We start from the raw sequence: 20,086 nt of genomic DNA on the forward strand, positions 1-20,086 counted from the left end.
TATAGCCTTGACCTCCCTGGCTCAAGTGATCTTCCTACCTCAGCCCCCTAAGTAGCTGAGAATGCATACGTGGGCAACCAGACCCAGCTAATTTGTGTGTGTATGTTGTCTGGTTTTTTTTTGAAACAGGGTCTCACCATGTTGCCCAGGCTAGTCTTGAACTACTCCTGAGCTCAAGTGATCCTCCCACTTGAGCCTCACAGAGTCTTAGGATTACAGGCGTGAGCCACTGTGCCCGGCCCATTGTTTTGACTTTAGCTACTTTCTTTTTTTTTTTTTTTCTTTTGACACAGAGTCTTGCTCTTGTCGCCCAGGCTAGAATGCAATGGCACAGTCTTGGCTCACTGCAACTTCTGCCTCCCAGGTTCAAGCGATTCTGCTGCCTCAGCCTTCTTGGTAGCTAGGATTACAGGCACCTGCCACCACGTCCAGCTAATTTTTGTACTTTTAGTAGAGACAGGGTTTCACCATGTTGGCCAGGCTGGTCTCGAACTCCTGACCTCAGGTGATCGGCCCGCCTCAGCCTCCCAAAGTGCTGGGATTATAGGCGTGAGCCACTGCACCTGGCAATTTTCGCTACTTTCTGTCAATTTCCTGTTCCTTTCCCACTCCCCTACTTTTTGGATGCTCTTGTAACTATTTATTTTCTTTTTTTTTTTTTCCCAAGACTGAGTCTTGCTCTGTCGCCCAAGCTGAAGCGCAGTGGCGAGATCTCGGCTCACTGCAAGCTCTGCCTCCTGGGTTCACACCATTCTCCTGCCTCAGCCTCCCGAGTAGCTGGGACTACAGGTGCCCGCCACCACACCTGGCTAATTTTTTGTATTTTTAGTAGAGACGGGGTTTCACCGTGTTAGCCAGGATGGTCTCGATCTCCTGACCTCGTGATCCGCCCGCCTCAGCCTCCCAAAGTGCTGGGATTACAGGCGTGAGCCACCGCACCCAGCCAACTATTTATTTTCAAGCAGAGCCTTGCTCTGTGCCCCAGGCTATCATGCAGTGGCACTATCATAGCTCACTGCAACCTTGACCTCCTGTGCTCAAACAGTCCTTCTGCCTCAGTCTCCTGAGTAGCTGGGACTACAGGTGTGCACCACCATGGTAATTTTTTTGTGTTGTCGTAGGGATGAGGTCTCCCTATATTGCCCAGGTTGGTCTCAAACACCTGACCTCAAGCAATCCTCCCACTTCAATCTCCCAAAGTGTTGGGATTACAGGTGTGAGCCACTGCACCCAGTTAACTTACTATTTAGCTGTTGATTAGTGTCTAGACTCAGTAAAGTTAGATAATAATTTGTGTAAGAATCTCCTTTGTAATAACTGGTCTGGCATCACAGACAAGCCTGAAAGAAATTTGCCAGTTTTGTATCCAATTTCCCAACATAATTGCAACATCCTTCCAGCCCCCCCACCCCCCAGAATATCCACTGCTCCTTCTTTCAGCCATCTCTATTTTTCTGCTGCTTTCATCATTAATGAGTTCAATAACACCTTTGACATCTGCTCACCCTGTTTTTGTATGAGTCATGTTTGTTTGTTCTTTGAGACAGGGTCTCATTCTGTCACCCAGGCTGGAGGACAGTGGCACAATCATGGCTCACTGCATCATGGACCTCCTAGGCTCAAGCAGTCCTCCTGCCTCAGCCTCATGAGTAGCTGAGACCACAGGTCGTGCCACCACACCCAGCTGTTTTTGAATTTTTGGTGGAGATGGAGTTTCACCATATTGCCCAGGCGGGTCTTGAACTCCTGAACTCAAGTGATCTGCCTTCCTCAGACTCGTAAAGTTCTGGGATTACTGGCATGAGCCACCACGCCCAGCCTGGGGACATTTTTTTTTTTTTTTGAGACAGCGTCTTGCTCTGTCGCCCAGGCTGGAGTGCAGTGGTGGGATCTCGGTTCACTGCAAGCTCCGCCTCCCGGGTTCATGCCGTTCTCCTGCCTCAGCCTCCCGAGTAGCTGGGAATACAGGCGCCCGCCACCACACCCGGCTAATTTTTTTTTTGTATTTTTAGTGGAGACGGGGTTTCACCGTGTTAGCCAGGATGGTCTCGATCTCCTCTCCTCGTGATCTGCCCGCCTCGGCCTCCCAAAGTGCTGGGATTACAGGCGTGAGACACTGCGCCTGGCCTTTTTTTTTTTTTTTTTTTTGAGACAGAGTCTCGCCCTGTTGCCCAGGCTGGAGTGCAGTGGTGGGATCTCGGCTCACTGCAACCTCCACCTCCCGGGTCCAAGCGATTCTCCTGCCTCAGCTTCCTGAGTAGCTGGGATTACAGGTGCCCACCGCCACGCCTGGCTAACTTTTGTAATTTAAGTAGAGACGGGGTTTCACCATCTTGGCCAGGATGGTCTCAATTTCCTGACCTCCTGATCTGCCTGCCTCGGCCTCCCAAAGTGTTGGGATTACAGGCATGAGCCACTGTGCCTGACCAGGGACACATTTTAAAAGTTAAAAACATGACTCTTAGCCAGGTGCGATGGCTCATGCCTGTAATCCCAGCTACTTGGGAGGCTGAGGCACCAGAATCACTTGAACCCAGGAAGTGGAGGTTGCAGTGAGCCGAAATAGTACCACTGCACTCCAGCCTGAGTGACAGAGCAAGACTCTGTCTCAAAAAAACAGAAAATGTATACGTGTGTGTGTGTGTGTATATATATACACACACACACACACACACACACACATATCCCTGTTTTATTTCATTTTTATTATGGGGTTTTTGTTGTTTTCTGTTTTTGTTTTTGTTTTTGTTTTTGTTTTGAGACAGTCTTGCTCTGTGGCCCAGGCTGGATCGGCTCACTGCAACCTCCACATCCCACTTCCAAGTGATTCTCCTACCTCAACCTCCTGAGTAACTGGGACTATAGGTGCCCACTGCCACACCTGGCTAATTTTTGTATTTCTAGTAGACAGGGTTTCAACATGTTGGCCAGGCTGGTCTGGAACTCCTGACCTCAGGTAATCCGCCCACCTCAGCCTCGGGCTATTTTTTATTGAAGAATAACATACGTACAGAAAAAGCATATAATCACAGGTACGCAGCTTGACACATTTACGCAAAGTGAATATTCTATGTAACCAGCAGCTAAATCAAGAAACAGAAAATTATAAGCAGAGCAGAGTCCCCGTCCTGTTCCCATGTAGTCACTGGTCCTTCTAAAGCAATCACCATTCTAACTTCTAGCTACATACATAAATATTCTCTTAATTTGTCTTAATTTTCTCATAAAAATGGAATCCATAATATGTACTCTTTTGTGTCTGGCTTCTTTCATTCCACATTATGTTTGTGGCATGTAGTTATATTTCATTCATTCTCATTTCTCTATAGTATTCCACAGTGTGACTAAACTAGGTATTACATGATTATGTGGAATGATTGGAATGCTCTGACACCGCTGCAACTTTAAATAACCACTTTGCGCTGTGTACAGTGGCTCATGCTTGTAACCCCAGCATTTTGGGAGGCCGAGGCAGAAAGATTGCTTGAGCCTAGAGGTTTGAGACCAGTAGGGCAACATAGTGAGTCCCTGTCTCTACAAAGAATAAAAAAATTAACAAACCATGGTGGCTCACGTCAGCAGTCCCAGCTACTTGGGAGGTTGAGGGAGGAGGATCACTTGAGTCCAGGAGGTGGAGGTTGCAGTGAGCTGGAAAACAAAACAAAACAAAACAAAACAAAAAACAGAAAAGAAAAGAAATAGCCCCTAAGTGGCCAGATGCGGAATCCCAGCGCTTTGGGAGGCCAAGGAGGGCGGATCATTTGAGGTCAGGAGTTCGAGACCAGCTTGACCTACATGTCAGACCCTGTCTCTACTAAAATACAAAAATTAGCTGGACGTGGTGGTGGGCACCTATAATCCCAGCTCCTCGGGAGGCTGAGGCAGGAGAATCGCTTGAATCCAGGAGGCGGAGGTTGCAGTCAGCCAAGATTGTGCCACTGCACTCTAGCCTGGGTGACACAGCCAGATTCCTTATCAAAAACAAACAAACAAACAAAAAATGCCCCTAACTGGGAACTGCTTAAATGTCCATAATAAAAGAAGACAGGGGCCAGGCACGGTGGCTGGTGGCTCATGCCTGTAATCCCAGTACTTTGGGATTCCTAGGTGGGCAGATCACTTGAGGTCAGGAGTTCGAGACCAGCCTGACCAACATGGTGAATATCCATTTCTACTAAAAATACAAAAAATTTAGCTGGGCGTCATGGGGCATGCCTGTAATCCCAGCTACTCGGGAGGCTGAGGCGTGAGAATCGCTTGAACCTGGGAGGTGGAGATTGCAGTGAGCTGAAATTGTGCCACTGCACTCCAGCCTGGGAGACAGAGTGAGACTCTGCCTTAAAAAAAAAAAAAAAAAAGAACAGTGTATTGTACTGCACGCACATATTTTGTGCATCTGCTGGGTTATAAGACCTAAATGGTAGAGTCATTTGCACCACATCCTGGACAGGCTAGAGAATCTCCTCTTGCTCTGGGCTCCACCGGCCTTACAGTTCACTTCGCTGATGAGTGAGAGCAGGTCTCCCGGCCATGATACAAGCTGCCCCCAAAATTCCAAAGGGCTTTTTCTTACCACCTTTTCCATCAAAGGATGGGGGTATAGGGGATGAAAGTTTCAGTAGCTTGCCCTGTGTTTAGGGAAAAAACAAAATTCTAACAAAACTCTTCTCCCGGACCTCCAAAATATCTCTGGGCTGGCAGGTCTCTGTATTTTTTTTTTTTTTATTGAACTTCCTTAAATGCACATAAGTCAGCTAATACTTCCATGGTACCTGTTTCTTTCTGCTCTTGGTACATCGATATTATTATTATTATAATTATTTAATTATTATGAAACAAGGTCTTGCTCTGTCGCCCAGGCTGGAGTACAGTGGCACAATCACAGATCACTGCAGCCTCCACCTCCTTGGCTCAAGTGATCCTCCAGCCTTAGCCTCCTAAGTAGCTGAGACCACAGGTGCACACCACCATGCCTGATAATTTTTTTTTTTTTTTTTTTTGGAGACGGAGTTGCCCTCTGTTGCCCAGGCTGGAGTGCAGTGGTGTGATCTCAGCTCACTGCAAGCTCCGCGTTCCGGGTTCACACCATTCTCCTGCCTCAGCCTCCTGAGTAGCTGGGATTACAGGCACCCGCCACCACTCCCGGCCAATTTTCTTTCTTTTTTTTTTTTTTTTGTATTTTAGTAGAGACGGGGTTTCACCATGTTAGCCAGGATGGTCTCGATCTCCTGACCTCATGATCCACCTGCCTCAGCCTCCCAAAGTGCTGGGATTACAGGTGTGAGCCACCGCGCCTGGCCCAATACCCGGCTAATTTTGTGTGTGTGTGTGACGCAGTCTCGCTCTGTCGCCCAGGCTGGAGTGCAGTGGCGCTATCTCTGCTTGCTGCAAGCTCTGCCTTCTGGCTTCATGCCATTCTCCTGCCTCAGCCTCCCGAGTAGCTGGGACTACAGGCACCCGCCACCACGCCCGGCTAATTTTTTTTTTTGTAATTTTAGTAGAGACGGGGTTTCACCGTGTTAGCCACGATGGTCTCAATCTCCTGACCTTGTGATCCGCCTGCCTCGGCTTCCCAAAGTGCTGGGATTACAGGCCTGAGCCACCGCGCCCGGCCAATTTTGTATTTTTAGTAGAGATGGGGTTTCACCATATTGTCCAGGCTGGTCTCAAACTCCTGACCTCGTGATCCGCCTGCCTCGGACTCCCAAAGTGCTGGGATTACAGGCATGAGCCACCACGCCCAGCCAGAATTTTTTCTTTTTTCTAGAGAAGGGGGTCTCCGTATGTTGCCCAGTCTGGTCTTGACCACCTGACCTTCATTGATTTTCCTACGTCGGCCTCCCAAAGTGGTGGGATTACAGGTGTGAGCCACTGCCACCGGCCAGTAATTATGCTGATGAAAGACCTGTTTTTTCTCCAGTTCCTGGGATGGCTCTAGGGAGGGTTATTTACACTGTGAGTGAGGAGGCATTCACAGAGAAGTTCCTCCAGAGTGTGGAAGAAGCACTACCATTTGGCACCAACGCCTGGAGAACAAAGGAGGAGACCATTGGCCAAAGAGAGGCATTTCCATTTTGTTGGAACCTGCTGACCACCAACCCATAGCATTTTTTCCCTTTCTTCCTTGCTAATCCAATCGCAGATTCATTGAGGAGGTGAGAGGTCCTGAGATCCAGGCTGGAAGAGGAGTGATTGGTCTACCTGGTTCTCAAGGGATAATGTTGCCCCCTAGAGGACATTTTGGAAATTATTAAGGAAAATTAACGACTGGTTTTTTGGTTGTCATCTGGTTCTCAAGGGAACAGTATTGCTTCCTTGGGAGAATTTGGAAACTTACCTTTTTTCATCGTCACAATGGTGAAGGGTTTGTTACTGGGATTAGAGGACAAGGACCAGACATGCCAAGATGTTCTACAATATAGCATTCCTAATTAATAATCACCTAATGAATAAAGCTCAGATAGCACTTAAAAAGTGGGGAAAGGACTGTTTATACTAAATTATGCTAAGCTGTAACACTGAACTATTCCAGTTCTTTTGAAATTGTTTACATAGCAAAATCATAGTTGACTCCTGGCCATTTAAGACTTATGCCACCACTCTTGGGATAGTGAAAATGTTTTGCAACTAGATTGAGGTGGTGATTGTATAATATGGTGAAAGTACTAAAAGCCACTAAATTGTGCACTTCAAAATGCTGCCTAATTTTATATTATGTGAATTTCACCTCAATAAAAATGTCTTTTTTTTTTTTTTTTTGAGAGGGAGTCTTGACCTGTTGCCAGGCTGGAGTGCAGTGGCGCAATCTCAGCTCACTGCAACCTCCACCTCTCAGGTTCAACCCATTCTCCTGCCTCAGCCTCGCAAGTAGCTGGGACTACAGGTATGCGCCACCACACCCAGCTAATTTTTTTGTATTTTTAGTAGAGACAGGGTTTCACCATGTTGACCAGCATGGTCTCAATCTCCTGACCTTGTGATCCACCTGCCTCGGCCTCCCAAAGTGCTGGGATTATAGGTGTGAGCCCCCGGGCCCAGCCAATAAAAATGTTTTTTTAAAAGGATGCATATTTCCAAACATGAGACTATACCATCACATTTAATTTTTCCCAGAAACTATAAAAAGTAGAAGTGAAGAGAGGAAAGGGAGACACTTTTAGACCTTCAATGAGTCTGCAAGTACAGGAGAAAATAATTTATGCAGCAATTAGCTTTATTTTCAGGGCTCTTTTTCTTTTCTTTTTTTTTTGTTGAGACGGAGTCTCGCTCTTTTGCCCAGGCCGGAGTGCAGTGGCGCTATCTTGGCTCAGTGCAAGCTCTGCCTCCTGGGTTCATACCATTTTCCTGCCTCAGCCTCCCGAGTAGCTGGGACTACAGGCACCCGCCACCATGCCCAGCTAATTTTTTGTATTTTTAGTAGACACGGGGTTTCACCGTGTTAGCCAGGATGGTCTCGATCTCCTGACCTCATGATCCGCCCGCCTCTGCCTCCCAAAGTGCTGGGATTACACGCGTGAGCCACCGCGCCTGGCCAACAAAGTGATCATTTTACAAGAGTTATGGCATAGTCACAGGTAAGAACCTGGGTCACTGGGTCACTCCCTAACCAATTACGAATTACTATATGCCATGGACCTTCAGGATTACTTTCTTTTTTGTTTTGTTTTTGTTTTTTTTTTTGAGACAGAGTCTCGCTCTGTCACCCAGACCGGGGTGCAGTGGCGCGATCTCAGCTCACTGCAACCTCTGCCTCCCGGATTCAAGCAATTCTCCTGCCTCAGCCTCCCGAGTAGCTGGGATTACAGGCATGTGCCACCACGCCTGGCTAATTTTTTTGTATTTTTAGTAGAGACCGGGTTTCACCATATTGGCCAGGCTGGTCTCGAACTCCTGACCTTGTGATCCACCCACCTTGACCTCCCAAAGTCCTGGGATTACAGGCGTGAGCCACCGCGCCCAGCCCAGGATTACTTTCTTTCTTTCTTTTGAGACAGAGTTTTGCTCTTGTTGCCCAGGCTGGAGTGCAATGGCACAATCTCGGATCACTGCAACCTCCACCTCTCAGGTTCAAGCGATTCTCCTGCCTCAGCCTCCCAAGTAGCTGGGATTACAGGCATGCGGCACCATGCCTAAAATTTTGTATTTTTAGTAGAGATGGGGTTTCTCCACTTTGGTCAGGATGGTCTCGAACTCCCGACCTCAGGTGATCCGCCCGCCTCGGCCTCCCAAAGTGCTGGTATTACAGGCATGAGCCACCGTGCCTGGCCTCTATTTTTCTTTCTATAATCCATGTACATTTTCCTTTAATAATATAAGGCAACTAAACAGCACTTTATTTTCAGAGGCTTATCTAAAAGATACTTGACACAGCCCTTTGCAGCTGGGTCATTCTCTGAATTCTAAATGTCGTTTCCTGCACAAAGTGGTTATTTGATCTTGTAACTGGCATTTTCCCCGGAGATTAGGAAGTGGCACACCAAAGTGCAAAAAACTTTGGAATCAGAACTTTAATTTTTAATCTTTATTTTATTTATTTATTTATTTTTGTGACAGAGTCTCGCTCTGTTGCCCAGGCTAGAGTGCAATGGCAAGATCTCCACTCACTACAAACTCCACCTCCCGGGTTCAAGTGATTCTCCGCCTTCAGCCTCCTGGGTAGCTGGGATCACAGGCGCACACCACCACACTCGGCTAATTTTTGTATTTTGAGTAGAGATGGGGTTTCACCATGTTGGCCAGGCTGGTCTCTAACTCCTGACCTCAGGTGATCCTCCCGTCCATGCCTCCCAAAGTGCTGGGATTACAGGTATGAGTCACTGTGCCCGGCCTAATTTTTATATTTTTTTGTAGAGACGGGGTCTGGCTGTGTTTGACAGCCTCAAACTCCTGGCCTCAAGTGATCCTCTCAAAGTGTTGGGATTACAGACATGAGCCACAGTGCCTGGCCTATTGAAAGCTTTTCCATCATAATAGGTCCTTCCCCCCAATGCTTGCAGCAAGTCAATAGTAGGAGACCCCAGGTTGCAGCAGAGAAAGAGGTTTAATCATAGGGGCCACTGAAAACCAAGAGAGGAGATGGAAGGAACCACGAATCCACTTCCCCAGGGAGTTCGGGGCTTTTTAAGGGTTTTGGAGTGGGTTGAAGTGTGGAGGTCATTGGTTGGTTGAAGTGTGCAGGGTGAAGTAATGAAACAGGGAGTTGAAGAAACTCTATTCTCCTGTCGATTTGGTTCCTCTGCGGGGTCTTCACACTGGTTGGTATCAGCTGTTTTGCTGGAATTCAGGATCTGAAAAATATCTTAAGCTTTTTTTTTTTTTTTTTTTTTTTTGAGACAAGGTCTGTTGTCCAGGCTGGAGTGCAGTGGTGCCATCATAGCTCATTGCAGCCTCTAACGCCTGGGCTCAAAGGATCCTTCCACCTTAGCCTCCCAAGTAGCTGGGATTACAGGCACGCACCACCACACCCAGCTAATTAAAAAATTTTTTTTTTTGTAGAGACAGGGGTCTTGTCATGTTGCCCAGGCTGGTCATGAACTCCTGACTTCAAGTGATTTTCCTATCTCAGTCTCCTAAAGCGCATGGATTACAGGCATGAGCCACCATGCCGGGCGCTAAGCAATTCTTATTATTTATTTATTTATTTATTTATTTATTTTTTTCTGAGACGGAGTCTTGCTCTGTTGCCCAGGCTGGAGTGCAGTGGCGCGAACTCGGCTCACTGCAAGCTCCATCTCCCAGGTTCATGCTATTCTCTTGCCTCAGCCTCCTCAGTAGCTGGGACTACATGCGCCTGCCACCACGCCCGGCTAATTTTTTGTAGTTTTAGTAGAGACAAGGTTTCACCATGTTAGCCAGGCTGATCTCGAACTCCTGACCTCGTGATCCGCCCACCTCTGCCTCCCAAAATGCTGGGATTACAGGCGTGAGCCACCACCTCCGGCCTAAGCAATTCTTAAATAAAAATCTATGATTCCGCCAGGCATGGTGGCTCACACCTGTAATCCGTGCACTTTGGGAGGCCGAGGCGGGTGGATCACAAGTTCAGGAGTTCGAGACCAGCCTGGCCAACATGGTGCAATCCCTGTCTCTACTAAAAATACAAAAGTTAGGTGGGCATGGTGGCTTTTTTTTTTTTTTTTTTAGACGGGAGTCTCTGTCATCCATGCTGGAGTGCAGTGGCAGGATCTTGGCTCACTGCAACCTCTGCCTCCCAGGTTCAAGCGATTCTCCGGCCTCAGCCTCCCAATTGGCTGAGACTACAGGCGTGTGCCACCACGCCCGGCTAATTTTTTAGTATTAGTAGAGATGGGGGTTTCACCATCTTGGCCGGGCTGGTCTCGAACTCCTGACTTCGTGATCTGCCCTCCCTGGCGTCCCAAAGTGCTGGGATTACAGGCATGAGCCACTGTGCCCTGCCAAAAAGCCTATGATTCTAACATCAGAAATCCTTCCACCTCAGCCTCCCACGTAGCTGGGACTATAGACTCAGTACCACCACACCAAGCTAATTTTTGTATTTTTAATAGAGATAGCGTTTCCCTATATTGACCACCTGGGGCCATCCCTGGTTTTTTTTTTTTTTCCCTTCCTTCCTTCCTTTCCCTCTCTCTTTCCCTCCCTCCTTCCTTCCTTTCTTTCTTTCTTTCTTTTTTTTTTTTTTTTACAGAGTCTTGCTCTGTTACCCAGGTTGGAGTGCAGAGGCATGATCTTGGCTTACTACAACCTCCGCCTCCCGGATTCAAGCAATTATCCTACCTCAGCCTTCCAAGTAGCTGGGACTACAAGTGTGAGCCACCATGCCCTGCTAATTTTTTTATTTTTACTAAAGACGGGATTTCACCACATTAGCCAGGCTGGTCTCCAACTCCTGATTTAAAGTAATCTGCCTGCCTTGGCCTTCCGAAGTGCTGAGATTACAGGTGCGAGTCACCGTGCCTGGCCTATTCCTGTTTTCTTAACGCTCCTCTCTCCCACTGGGCCGTGACTGCCTCTAAGGCAGAGATGTGTTCATTTTTATTATTATTGTATGTCCAGGGCTGGGCACAAAGTGCAACACATAGTAGGGACATGAAAGGCTGGGCACAGTGGCTCATGGTTGTAATCCCAGCACTTTGGGAGGCAGAGGCGGGAGGATGGCTTGAGGCCAGGAGTTGGAGACCAGCCTAGGCAACAGAGGGACCCCATCTCTATGAAAAAAAAAAAAAAAAATTGACAGTTCAATGTCACCTCTGATAAGCCTTCCCTGACCACCCCTGTTACTCTGTAGCCCCATGTCCTGCTTTATTTTTCTCCAAAGCATTTATCATCGCTGGGTTTATATTTATTTCTCTTCGGGCTTTTCTCACTGGATCGTAAACTCCATGAGGACAGGGCTTTGTCGATTTCACTCAATACCGTTATTTTACAACATCCCTATTGCTGGGATCTCAGTATGCACTCCTTAAATATTTGCAGAATTTAAGTGCCACATAAGTGACCACGTGGGCAACGCCCTCGGGGCCTTAAGCCGCGCCATTTTTGGGGCTAGGATTGGTTGGACCCTCCGTCACGTGACATGCAGTCGCCGGATCGCCTTTGAGTCTCGTGAGGTACTTTTGGTCCCAGGCTCCGCGGACGAGGTACTGCGCAGGCGTGGGAGGGTCTGCGCATGCGCAGAAGCACTCCGGGCGTGCTGCCGGCGGCGGTAGGTGGCGCGCGGGTCCGGCGGGCGGTTGGCTTGAGCGGGACCGGAGCTGAGGCAGGAAGAGCCGGCGCCATGGTGGAGAAGGAGGAGGCTGGCGGCGGCATTAGCGAGGAGGAGGCGGCACAGTATGACCGGCAGATCCGCCTGTGGGGACTGGAGGCCCAGAAACGGTCAGGGCCGGCGCGGCTTGAGGCCGCTAGGGTCTGGAGGGGGCGTCTATTCTGAGGCGTTTGCGGCCCGGAAGGAGCGGGAAGGTGTGATTTGAAGGGAGGAGGCGGGAATTCTGTGCTCTGGGATCGTCTCTCTCTTGGGGGGACTGGAGGAGTTGATTGGGGATGTTTCTGGAAGGTCTGGGAAGTGGTTGGGAGGGCCGTTCCGAAGGATGGGAGCTCTGAAGGGGGCGTTGGGGAGTCCTGAGAGAGCGGGAGAATTCAAACTCAGGAAATCCGAGGCCCGAAAGCGGTGATTGTGGGGTTTGATCGCGGTTAGGGGATAAGAGGGGCTGGGGATACGTGGAAAGGGTGAGGTGAGGGACGCAGTTCATTCATTCGAGGGTATGGGACCTGGTTCCGTGCTGCACACAGGGGAGACTGGACTGGCCAACCGGACAGACGGGAGCTTACACTCTTGTGGGAGCTCACGGGCGGGCCAGTCTGAGAGAATGCGGGTTTTGAGGAGTTTTGGAGCAAGTTATCTCAAATGGGAATCTTGAGAGGCTCGGAGAGGCTGGAGGGGGACGGCCGTAGGCTCCCGAAAAGGTTGCTTGTGTTTGGTATGGGGCTGTGTCTTGATAGGACAGGAGACGTAGTTTGGGCATTGTGGAGTAGCTTAGGGAATTCTTTTTTTTTTTTTTTTTTTTTTTGAGATAGTCTCTCTCTGTCGCCCAGGCTGGAGGGCAGTGGCGCGATCTCGGCTCACTGCAACCTCTGCCTCCCGGATTCAAGCGATTCTCCTAACTCAGCCTCCCGAGTAGCTGGGATTATAGGGGCCCGCCAGCACGCCCGGCTAATTTTTGTATTTTTAGTAGACACGGGGTTTCGCCATATTGACGAGACTGGTCTCGATCTCCTTACCTCAAGTGATCCACCCGCCTCGGCCTCCTGAAGTGCTGGGATTACAGGAGTGAGCCACCGCGCCAGGACGTCTTTTGTTTTGTGCAGTTGGGTGACCTCGGTTCACTGCAGCCTCTGGCCTCCCGGGTTCAAGACTTCCTCTCACCTCAGTCTTCTGAGTAGCTGGGATTACAGGCTCGCGCCACCATGCCTGGCTAATTTTTGTATTTTTAGTAGACATGGGTTTTCACCATGTTGGCCAGGCTGGTCTCAAACTCCGGACCTCAAGTGATCTGCCCGCCACAGCCTCCCAAAGTGGTTGGATTACAGACGTGAGCCACTGTGCCCAGCTTGTTTTTTTTTTTTTTCTTTCTCTGTGGCCCAGTGGAGTGCAGTGGTGGGATCACAGCTCACTGTAGCCTCAACCTCCAAGGCTCAAGGGATATTCCCTCTTCAGCCTCCCAAGTAGCTGGGACTACAGGCGTGCCCCACCACATCATCCGACTAATTTTTGTTTTTTTTTTTTTTTGTAGGATGGGGTTTTGCCATGTTGCCCAGACTGGTCTTGAACTCCCAAGCTCAAGCGATCCTCGGCCTCAAGAGATCTCCCCCCATCTCAGACTCCTAAAATGCTGGGATTACAGGCATGAGCTACCATGCCTGGCCTCATTGATCAATATTTTTACTTAGCCTGGACGCAGTGACTCACACCTGTAATCCCAGCACTTTGGGAAGCTGAGTTGGGGGGAGGGGACCTCTTGAGCCCAGGAGTTTGAGACTAGCCTGGGTAATGTTGCCAAACCCAGTCTCTACAAAAAAATACAAAAATTAGCCAGGCATGGTGACATAAGTTTATAGTCCCAGCTTGTCAGGAGACTGAGGTGGGAGCATCACCTGAGCCCCTGGGAGGTGGAGGTTGCAGTGAGCCATGATCACACCACTACACCCCAGCCTGGGTGACAGAGTGAGGCCCCGTCTCAAAAAAAAAAAAAAAATCCACAAGCGTGTGTATATGTGTCAGTTATTAAAGGATGGTGAAGTGAGAGGGTTGTTTTGATAGGTTGGCCAGGGAAGGGCTCTGAAGAGGTAACATTGAGCCTCAGACTTATATGGGAAAGAGCCCTGTGGTCATCTGGGAGAACTTTCCTAGCTAAGAGAACAGCAAGTGCAAATTCCCAGAGGCCCAGGCATGATTGTCAAATTAGAGAAATAAGGTGGCAGGAACCAAATGATTTGAGGAGTAGCTTTTATTCTAAGTGTGTGGGAAAACCTGTTGGAGTGTTTTGAGTGTGGGAGTAACATGATCTGTTTTTTGTTTGTTTTTTGAGACGGAGTCTTGCTCTGTGGCCCAGGCTGGAGTGCAATGGCACGATCTCGGCTCACTGCCATTGCAGTGAATCCGCCTCCCAGGTTCAAGCGATTCTCCTGCCTCACCTTCCTGAGTAGCTGGGACTATCGGCATGTGCCACAACACCCGGCTAATCTTGAGTATTTTTAGTAGAGACGGGGTTTCACCATGTTAGACAGGATAGTCTCGATCTCCTGACCTCGTGATCCGCCTGCCTTGGGCTCCCAAAGTGCTGTGATTACAGGCGTGAGCCACTGCGGCCTGGCCTGGTTTGTGTTTTAAAATGATCGCTCCAGAATAGGTTAAAGTGGTCAGAAATGGAAGTAAAGATTCTGGCTGGACTGTTGCAGTAATCCAGTTGAGATAAAAATATTGGTGGCTTGAAACTCAAGAGAAGGGGTCAAATAAATATATTCTGGATATATTTTGAAGGTAGAAGAGGGAACAGAATTTGGGGCAGAAGTCCAGGATGACACCACTGTTTTTGGCTTGAGCACCTACCTGGAACGATGGAATTGCCATTTTGAAAGATATGGAGAGCTGTAGGTTTGGTGGGGTCGGGGAAGAGTCAGTTCTCTTTTAGGTTTCAGATTTGTTTTTTTTGTTTGTTTTTTTTTTTTTTGAGACGGAGTCTCACTCTGTCGCCCAGGCTGGAGTGCAGTGGCATGGTCTCGGCTCACTGCAACCTCTGCCTCCCAGGTTCAAGCAATTCTCCTGCCTCAGCCTCCCGAGTAGCTGGGATTACAGGCGCCCGCCACCATGCCCAGCTAATTTTTGTATTTTTAGTAGAGACGGAGTTTCACCGTGTTGGTCAGGCTGGTGTTGAACCCCTGACCTCGTGATCCACCTGCCTCGGCCTCCCAAAGTGCTGGGATTACAGGTGTGAGCCACCATGCCCGGCCTCAGATTTGTTTTTTTATACAACTAAGTAGAAATATGTGAGGGGTTGAGTTCAGAGGTAAAATTTGGGTGATGGTGGGTATTGTGTGAGTACAGAGTATAGAATTAATGGAGGGGTTGGGGAGGCAGACACGTCAGGAGAATTTAGTTTGAGGGGGTGGGAGCTTTCAGAAGGTTTTAGAGGGTGCAGTGGTGGGATGGGAATTACCTCAGGCTCATTTCAGATCTGTGGGGTCTTCTTTGATGGGGTGGGGGGATGTCATCATGAGGCATTAACATTGGTGGGAGGGTTGAAGGCACCTGGAATAGATTGGGAATTAAGTGATGAGAATGTGCCTCTGGACATAGGTGGACTGCATTGATTTTAGGGACTGCTATTTTCTGGATGGAGTGGAAAGAGGATTTATGTGAGTTGGAGGAAACTTTGAGGAAGCTTGGTGTGTTCTGAGATCCTAAAGGGTTGGGGAGGGGATTCTAAGGTACTGGAAGGGTTAATCGAAGGGGTTTGCGGCAGCAGATAGCTTTGTTTGAAGTGGGGCAAAGTTGGTGAGGTTTAAACTGGAATGTAGTTAGGGAACTTTCAGAGGGATGGGGATGATTTTTCTGAGAAGCAGTGAAGAATGGATGGGGGCCTCTGAGTGGGAGATGACCTAAGGGACAAGTCAGGGTCAGGGCATGGAATTTGTGGGAGGTAGGAATTATTCTGAGGGAGTGGAGCTGTACCAAATTTGGTGGAGAACATGAAAAGGATTGGCTGGGGGTTGCAGGAGGGAGGGAAGAGGTTGTTTGTAATTTGTACTCTATTTTTAGACAGTCTTAGAGAGTTTATTAAAGTGTTTTTTGTCCATTTTCAGCCGAGGTTTTTAGAAATTAAAAATTTTTTTGTGTGAGTACATAGTAGGTGTATACATTTTGGGGGTATGTGAGATACTTTGATACAGGCATACAATGGGTAATAATCACATCAGGGTAAATGGGGTATCCACCACCTTAAGCACTTATCCTTTGTGTTACAAACAATCCAATTATATTCTTTTAGTTGCTTTGAAATGTACAACAAATTATTGTTGACTGTAGTCACCCTGTTATGCTATCAAATACTGTATCTTATTCATTGTATTTAATTATATTTTTGTATCCATTAGTCATCCCTCCTTCCCCTCCACCCCCCACTACCCTTCCTAGCCTCTGGTAACCCTCAGTCTACTATCTGCATGAGTTCAATTGTTTTAATTTTTTTAGTTCCCACAAATAAGTGACAGCGTGCAAAGTTTTCTTTCTGTGCCTGATTTATTTCACTTAACATAATAACATCCAGTGCCCTCCCTGTTGTTGTAAATGACAGGATCTCATTCCCTTTTTTTTGTAGACAGGGTCTCTCTGTCGCGCAGACTAGAGTGCAGTGGTGTGATCACAACTCACTTCAGCCTTGACTTCTTGGGCTCAGGTGATCCTCCCACCTCAGCCTCCCGGTAGTTGTGACTATAGCACGTGTCACAAGCCCAGCTAATATTTTAGTACAGGTGGGGTTTCACCAGGCTAGTCTCCAACTCCTGGGCTCAAATAATCCTCCTGCCTCCCTGCAAAGTGCTGGGATTAGAGGCGTGAACAGCAATGCCCAGCCTTTGTACCACAATTTCTATTTTTTTTTTTGAAACGGAGTCTCGCCGTGTCGCCTAGGCTGGAGTAGGCTGGAGTGCAGTGGCGCAGTCTTGGTTCACTGCAAGCTCCGCCTCCCAGGTTCACGCCATTCTCCTGCCTCAGCCTCCCTAGTAGCTGGGACTACAGGTGCCCGCCACCACGCCCGGCTAATTTCTGTATTTTTAGTAGAGACGGGGTTTCACCTTGTTGGCCAGGATGGTCTCAATCTCCTGACCTCGTGTACCACAATTTCTTTATCCATTTGTCTGTTGATAGACATATGGGTTGCTTTCAAATCTTGGCTATTGTGAAGAGTGCTGCAATAAACATGGGATTTATTGCAGTTTTTTTTCTTTTGAGACCGAGCCTCGCTCTGTTGCCCAGGCTAGAGGACAGTGGCACGATCTCAGCCCAGTACAATCTCCACCTCCCAGGTTCAAGCGATTCTCCTGCCTAAGCCTCCCAAGTAGCTGAGATTACAGGCACCTGCCACCACGCCCGGCTAATCTTTGTATTTTTTAGTAGAGATGGGGTTGCTGTGTTGGCCAGGCTGGTCTCAAACTCCTGGCTTCAGGTGATTGGCCCTCCTTGGCCCCCCAAAGTGTTGCAATTACAGGCGTGAGCCACCACACCCAGCCTGATTTATTTTCATTTGGGTATATACCTAGCAGTGGGATTGCATTTTTACCCGAGTCTTTTTTTTTTTTTTTTTTGAGACGGAGTTTCGCTCTTGTTACCCAGACTGGAGTATGGTGGCGTGATCTCAGCTCACCGCAACCCTTGCCTCCCAGGTTCAAGCAATTCTTCTGGTTCAGCCTCCCAAGTAGCTGGGATTACAGGCGTGTGCCACCATGCCCGGCTAATTTTGTATTTTAGTAGAGACGGGATTCCTCCATGTTGGTCAGGCTGTGAACTCCTGACCTCAGGTGATCCGCCCGCCTTGGCCTCCCAAAGTGCTGGGATTACAGGCATGAGCCACAGCCCCCGGCCTTCACCTGAGTCTTATAGCAGCTCTCTGGAGTCGGAAGGGCAGTGATTTCCTTCTCTGTTCAGATGAGGAAGGAGGCTCCACAGAGCAAATTGACTTGCCTCTAAGAGGGCTCTAGGTGGGATAGGAGGGTTCTAGGTGGGATAGGAGAACTCTGGAGACTGGAGTTCCTTTATGAAACAGAAGCCCTGGAAATGGGCAGGCTGATAAAATGTACAAATTGTGGGGCATTTTATAAGACAGTTATCCTACTTCTCTTCCAAAAGTCAGTTTCATGGGAAAAATAAGTGAAGGGACTGTTGTGGATTAAAAGAGAGTAAAGGCCGTCACAGTGACTCAGCCTGTAATCCCAGGACTTTGAGAGGCCGAGGTGGGTGGATCACCTGAGGTCAGGAGTTCGAGACTAGCCTGGCCAACATGGTGACCGTCTCTACTAAAAATACAAAAAAAATTAGCCAGGTGTGGTGGTGGGTGCTTGTAATCCCAACTACTTGGGAGGCTGAGGCAGGAGAATTGTTTGAATCCAGGAGGCAGAGGTTTTAGTGAGCCAAGGTCACACTATCGCACTCCAGCCTGGGTGACAAGAGCGAAACTCTGTCTCAAAAATAAATAAATAAAATAAAATAAAGTAAAGAAGCAGCTTCCTAGAGCAGATTTGGTTGCTTAAATTGAGGCCAAGTTTCTGGAGTTTTTATTGATAGTTGACAATTACAACTAAAATTTTTTTTTCTCGCTCTGTTACCCAGGCTGGAGTGCAGTGACGCAGTGACGTGATCTTCAGCTCACTGCAACCTCCACCTCCCGGGTTCAAGGGATTCTCCCGCCTCAGCCCCCAAGTAGCTGGGACCACAGGCGTATGCCATATCACTCAGCTAATTTTGTGTGTGCATGGCGTATGCCGTAACACTCAGCTGATTGTGTGTGTGTGTGTGTGTGTGTGTTGTTTTTTTTTTTTTTTTGTGATGGACTCTCACTCTGTCGCCCAGGCTGGAGTGCAGTGGCACAATCTTGGCTCACTGCAACCTCCGCCTCCTGAGTTCAAGCGATTCTCCTGCCTTAGCCTCTGGAGTAGCTCGGATTACAGGCGCGTGCCACCACACCTGGCTGATTTTTATATTTTTAGTAGAGACGGGGTTTTACCATGTTGGCCAGGCTGGTCTCAAACTCCTCACTTCAAGTGATCTGCCCACCTCGGCCTCCCAAAGTGCTGGGATTACAGGCGTGAGCCACTACACCCGGCCTATGTGTGTGTATTTTATTTTTTTATTTTTTTGAGACGGAATTTCTCTCTTGTTGCCCAGGCTGGAGTGCAATGGCGTGATCTAGACTCACTGCAACCTCTGCCTCCCGGGTTCAGGCAATTCTCCTGCCTCAGCCTCCTAAGTAGCTGGGATTACAGGCGCCTGCTACCGCGCCCAGCTAATGTTTGTATTTTTAGTAGAGACCAGGTTTCGCCATGTTGGCCAGGGTGGTCTTGAACTCCTGACCTCAGGTGATCTACCCGCCTCAGCCTCCTTAAGTGCTGGGATTACAGGCATGAGCCACTGCGCCTGGCCAGAAGTTACCTTCTTTGTGCCTGTTTTCTCAGCTGCAAAAGAGGGGTAACAAAGTGCCAGCCCATTAGATTGTCATGGGAATTAAATGACATAATACATACAAAGAGCTTAGTAGAACAGTGCTTGGCACATAGTAAGTGTTAGATAAATGTTGGCCATTATTATTTTATTATGTACCAGATTTCTATAATTCTGCTGATGGACACAGGTTTGTTTTGGTGTGTCTATTAATTCACAGCCATTTGAGTAACAGTATGTCCTAAATGCCAAGGAAGTTACTGGTTCTAGTGATACAGTGGTTTCTGGAGTTTACATTCTAATGGAGGAGGGGGCAGTAAACATATAAACAAGTAGTGTAGCTTAGCACAGTGGTGTGTGGCTGTGATCCCAGCTACTGGGGAGGCTGAGGTTGGAGGATCACTTGAGCCAGGCAATTGAGACTAGCTTGGGCAACTTAGTGAGGCCCCATTTCAATCAAAACAGTGGGCAACACAGACCCCATCTTAATCAAAACAAAAACAAGTAGCATAATTCGAGATAGAAGAGGATGTGGACCTATTTTAAATTAGGTGGCCAGTATGGACTTCTCTAAGGAGGTGACAATTGAGCTGAGACCTAAAGAATGTGTCCCTTAAGAAGTTGAGGGAAGAAGCAATGGGAAGCACTAATGCCAAGGTCCTAAGGTGGGAGCAAGGATGGGAGCAAGGATGATGTTCTCTAGGATCAGCCTCCCGAGTAGCTGGGACTACAGGCACGTGCCACCACGCCTGGCTAATTTTTGTATTTTGAGTAGAGATGGAGTTTCACCATATTGGCCAGGCTGGTCTCGAACTCCTGACCTCAAGTGATCCGACCGCCTCGGCTAATTTTGTGTATTTTTAGTAGAGACGGGGTTTCACCGTGTTAGCCACGATGGTC

General features: G+C 48.3%; 1 protein-coding gene across 4 annotated transcripts in view, besides 4 other annotated features; it reads left to right on the plus strand.

The window, feature by feature from the left end:
• Nucleotides 11,434-12,048: an enhancer, noted in NCBI's record as "NANOG-H3K27ac-H3K4me1 hESC enhancer chr19:47633866-47634480 (GRCh37/hg19 assembly coordinates)". NCBI's record gives its function as "activates a minimal SCP1, AML or CMV promoter by ChIP-STARR-seq in naive H9 embryonic stem cells {active_cell/tissue: H9 hESC(naive)}" and the evidence as "EXISTENCE:reporter gene assay evidence [ECO:0000049][PMID:30033119]".
• SAE1 (SUMO1 activating enzyme subunit 1) overlaps nt 11,660-20,086 on the plus strand; it is a 79,802-nt gene continuing 71,375 nt past the window's right edge. For 3 of the 4 annotated variants that reach the window (NM_005500.3, NM_001145714.2, NM_001145713.2), the window contains exon 1: nt 11,660-11,853. In NM_005500.3, the coding sequence (NP_005491.1) occupies nt 11,756-11,853 (98 nt within the window). In that variant the 5' untranslated portion in view covers nt 11,660-11,755. Of the gene's footprint in view, nt 11,938-20,086 lie in introns of all 4 variants that reach the window. The other variant, NR_027280.2, reaches the window with a different exon arrangement.
• Nucleotides 11,741-11,980: an enhancer, noted in NCBI's record as "active region_14859". NCBI's record gives its function as "activates an Ori minimal core promoter by ATAC-STARR-seq in GM12878 lymphoblastoid cells {active_cell/tissue: GM12878}" and the evidence as "EXISTENCE:reporter gene assay evidence [ECO:0000049][PMID:35858748]".
• Nucleotides 16,152-16,922: an enhancer, noted in NCBI's record as "H3K27ac-H3K4me1 hESC enhancer chr19:47638584-47639354 (GRCh37/hg19 assembly coordinates)". NCBI's record gives its function as "activates a minimal SCP1, AML or CMV promoter by ChIP-STARR-seq in primed H9 embryonic stem cells {active_cell/tissue: H9 hESC(primed)}" and the evidence as "EXISTENCE:reporter gene assay evidence [ECO:0000049][PMID:30033119]".
• Nucleotides 16,923-17,692: an enhancer, noted in NCBI's record as "H3K27ac-H3K4me1 hESC enhancer chr19:47639355-47640124 (GRCh37/hg19 assembly coordinates)". NCBI's record gives its function as "activates a minimal SCP1, AML or CMV promoter by ChIP-STARR-seq in naive H9 embryonic stem cells {active_cell/tissue: H9 hESC(naive)}" and the evidence as "EXISTENCE:reporter gene assay evidence [ECO:0000049][PMID:30033119]".

The sequence above is a fragment of the Homo sapiens genome, chromosome 19 (genome assembly GCF_000001405.40).
Source record: "Homo sapiens chromosome 19, GRCh38.p14 Primary Assembly".
NCBI classification, from domain to species: Eukaryota; Metazoa; Chordata; class Mammalia; order Primates; family Hominidae; genus Homo; species Homo sapiens.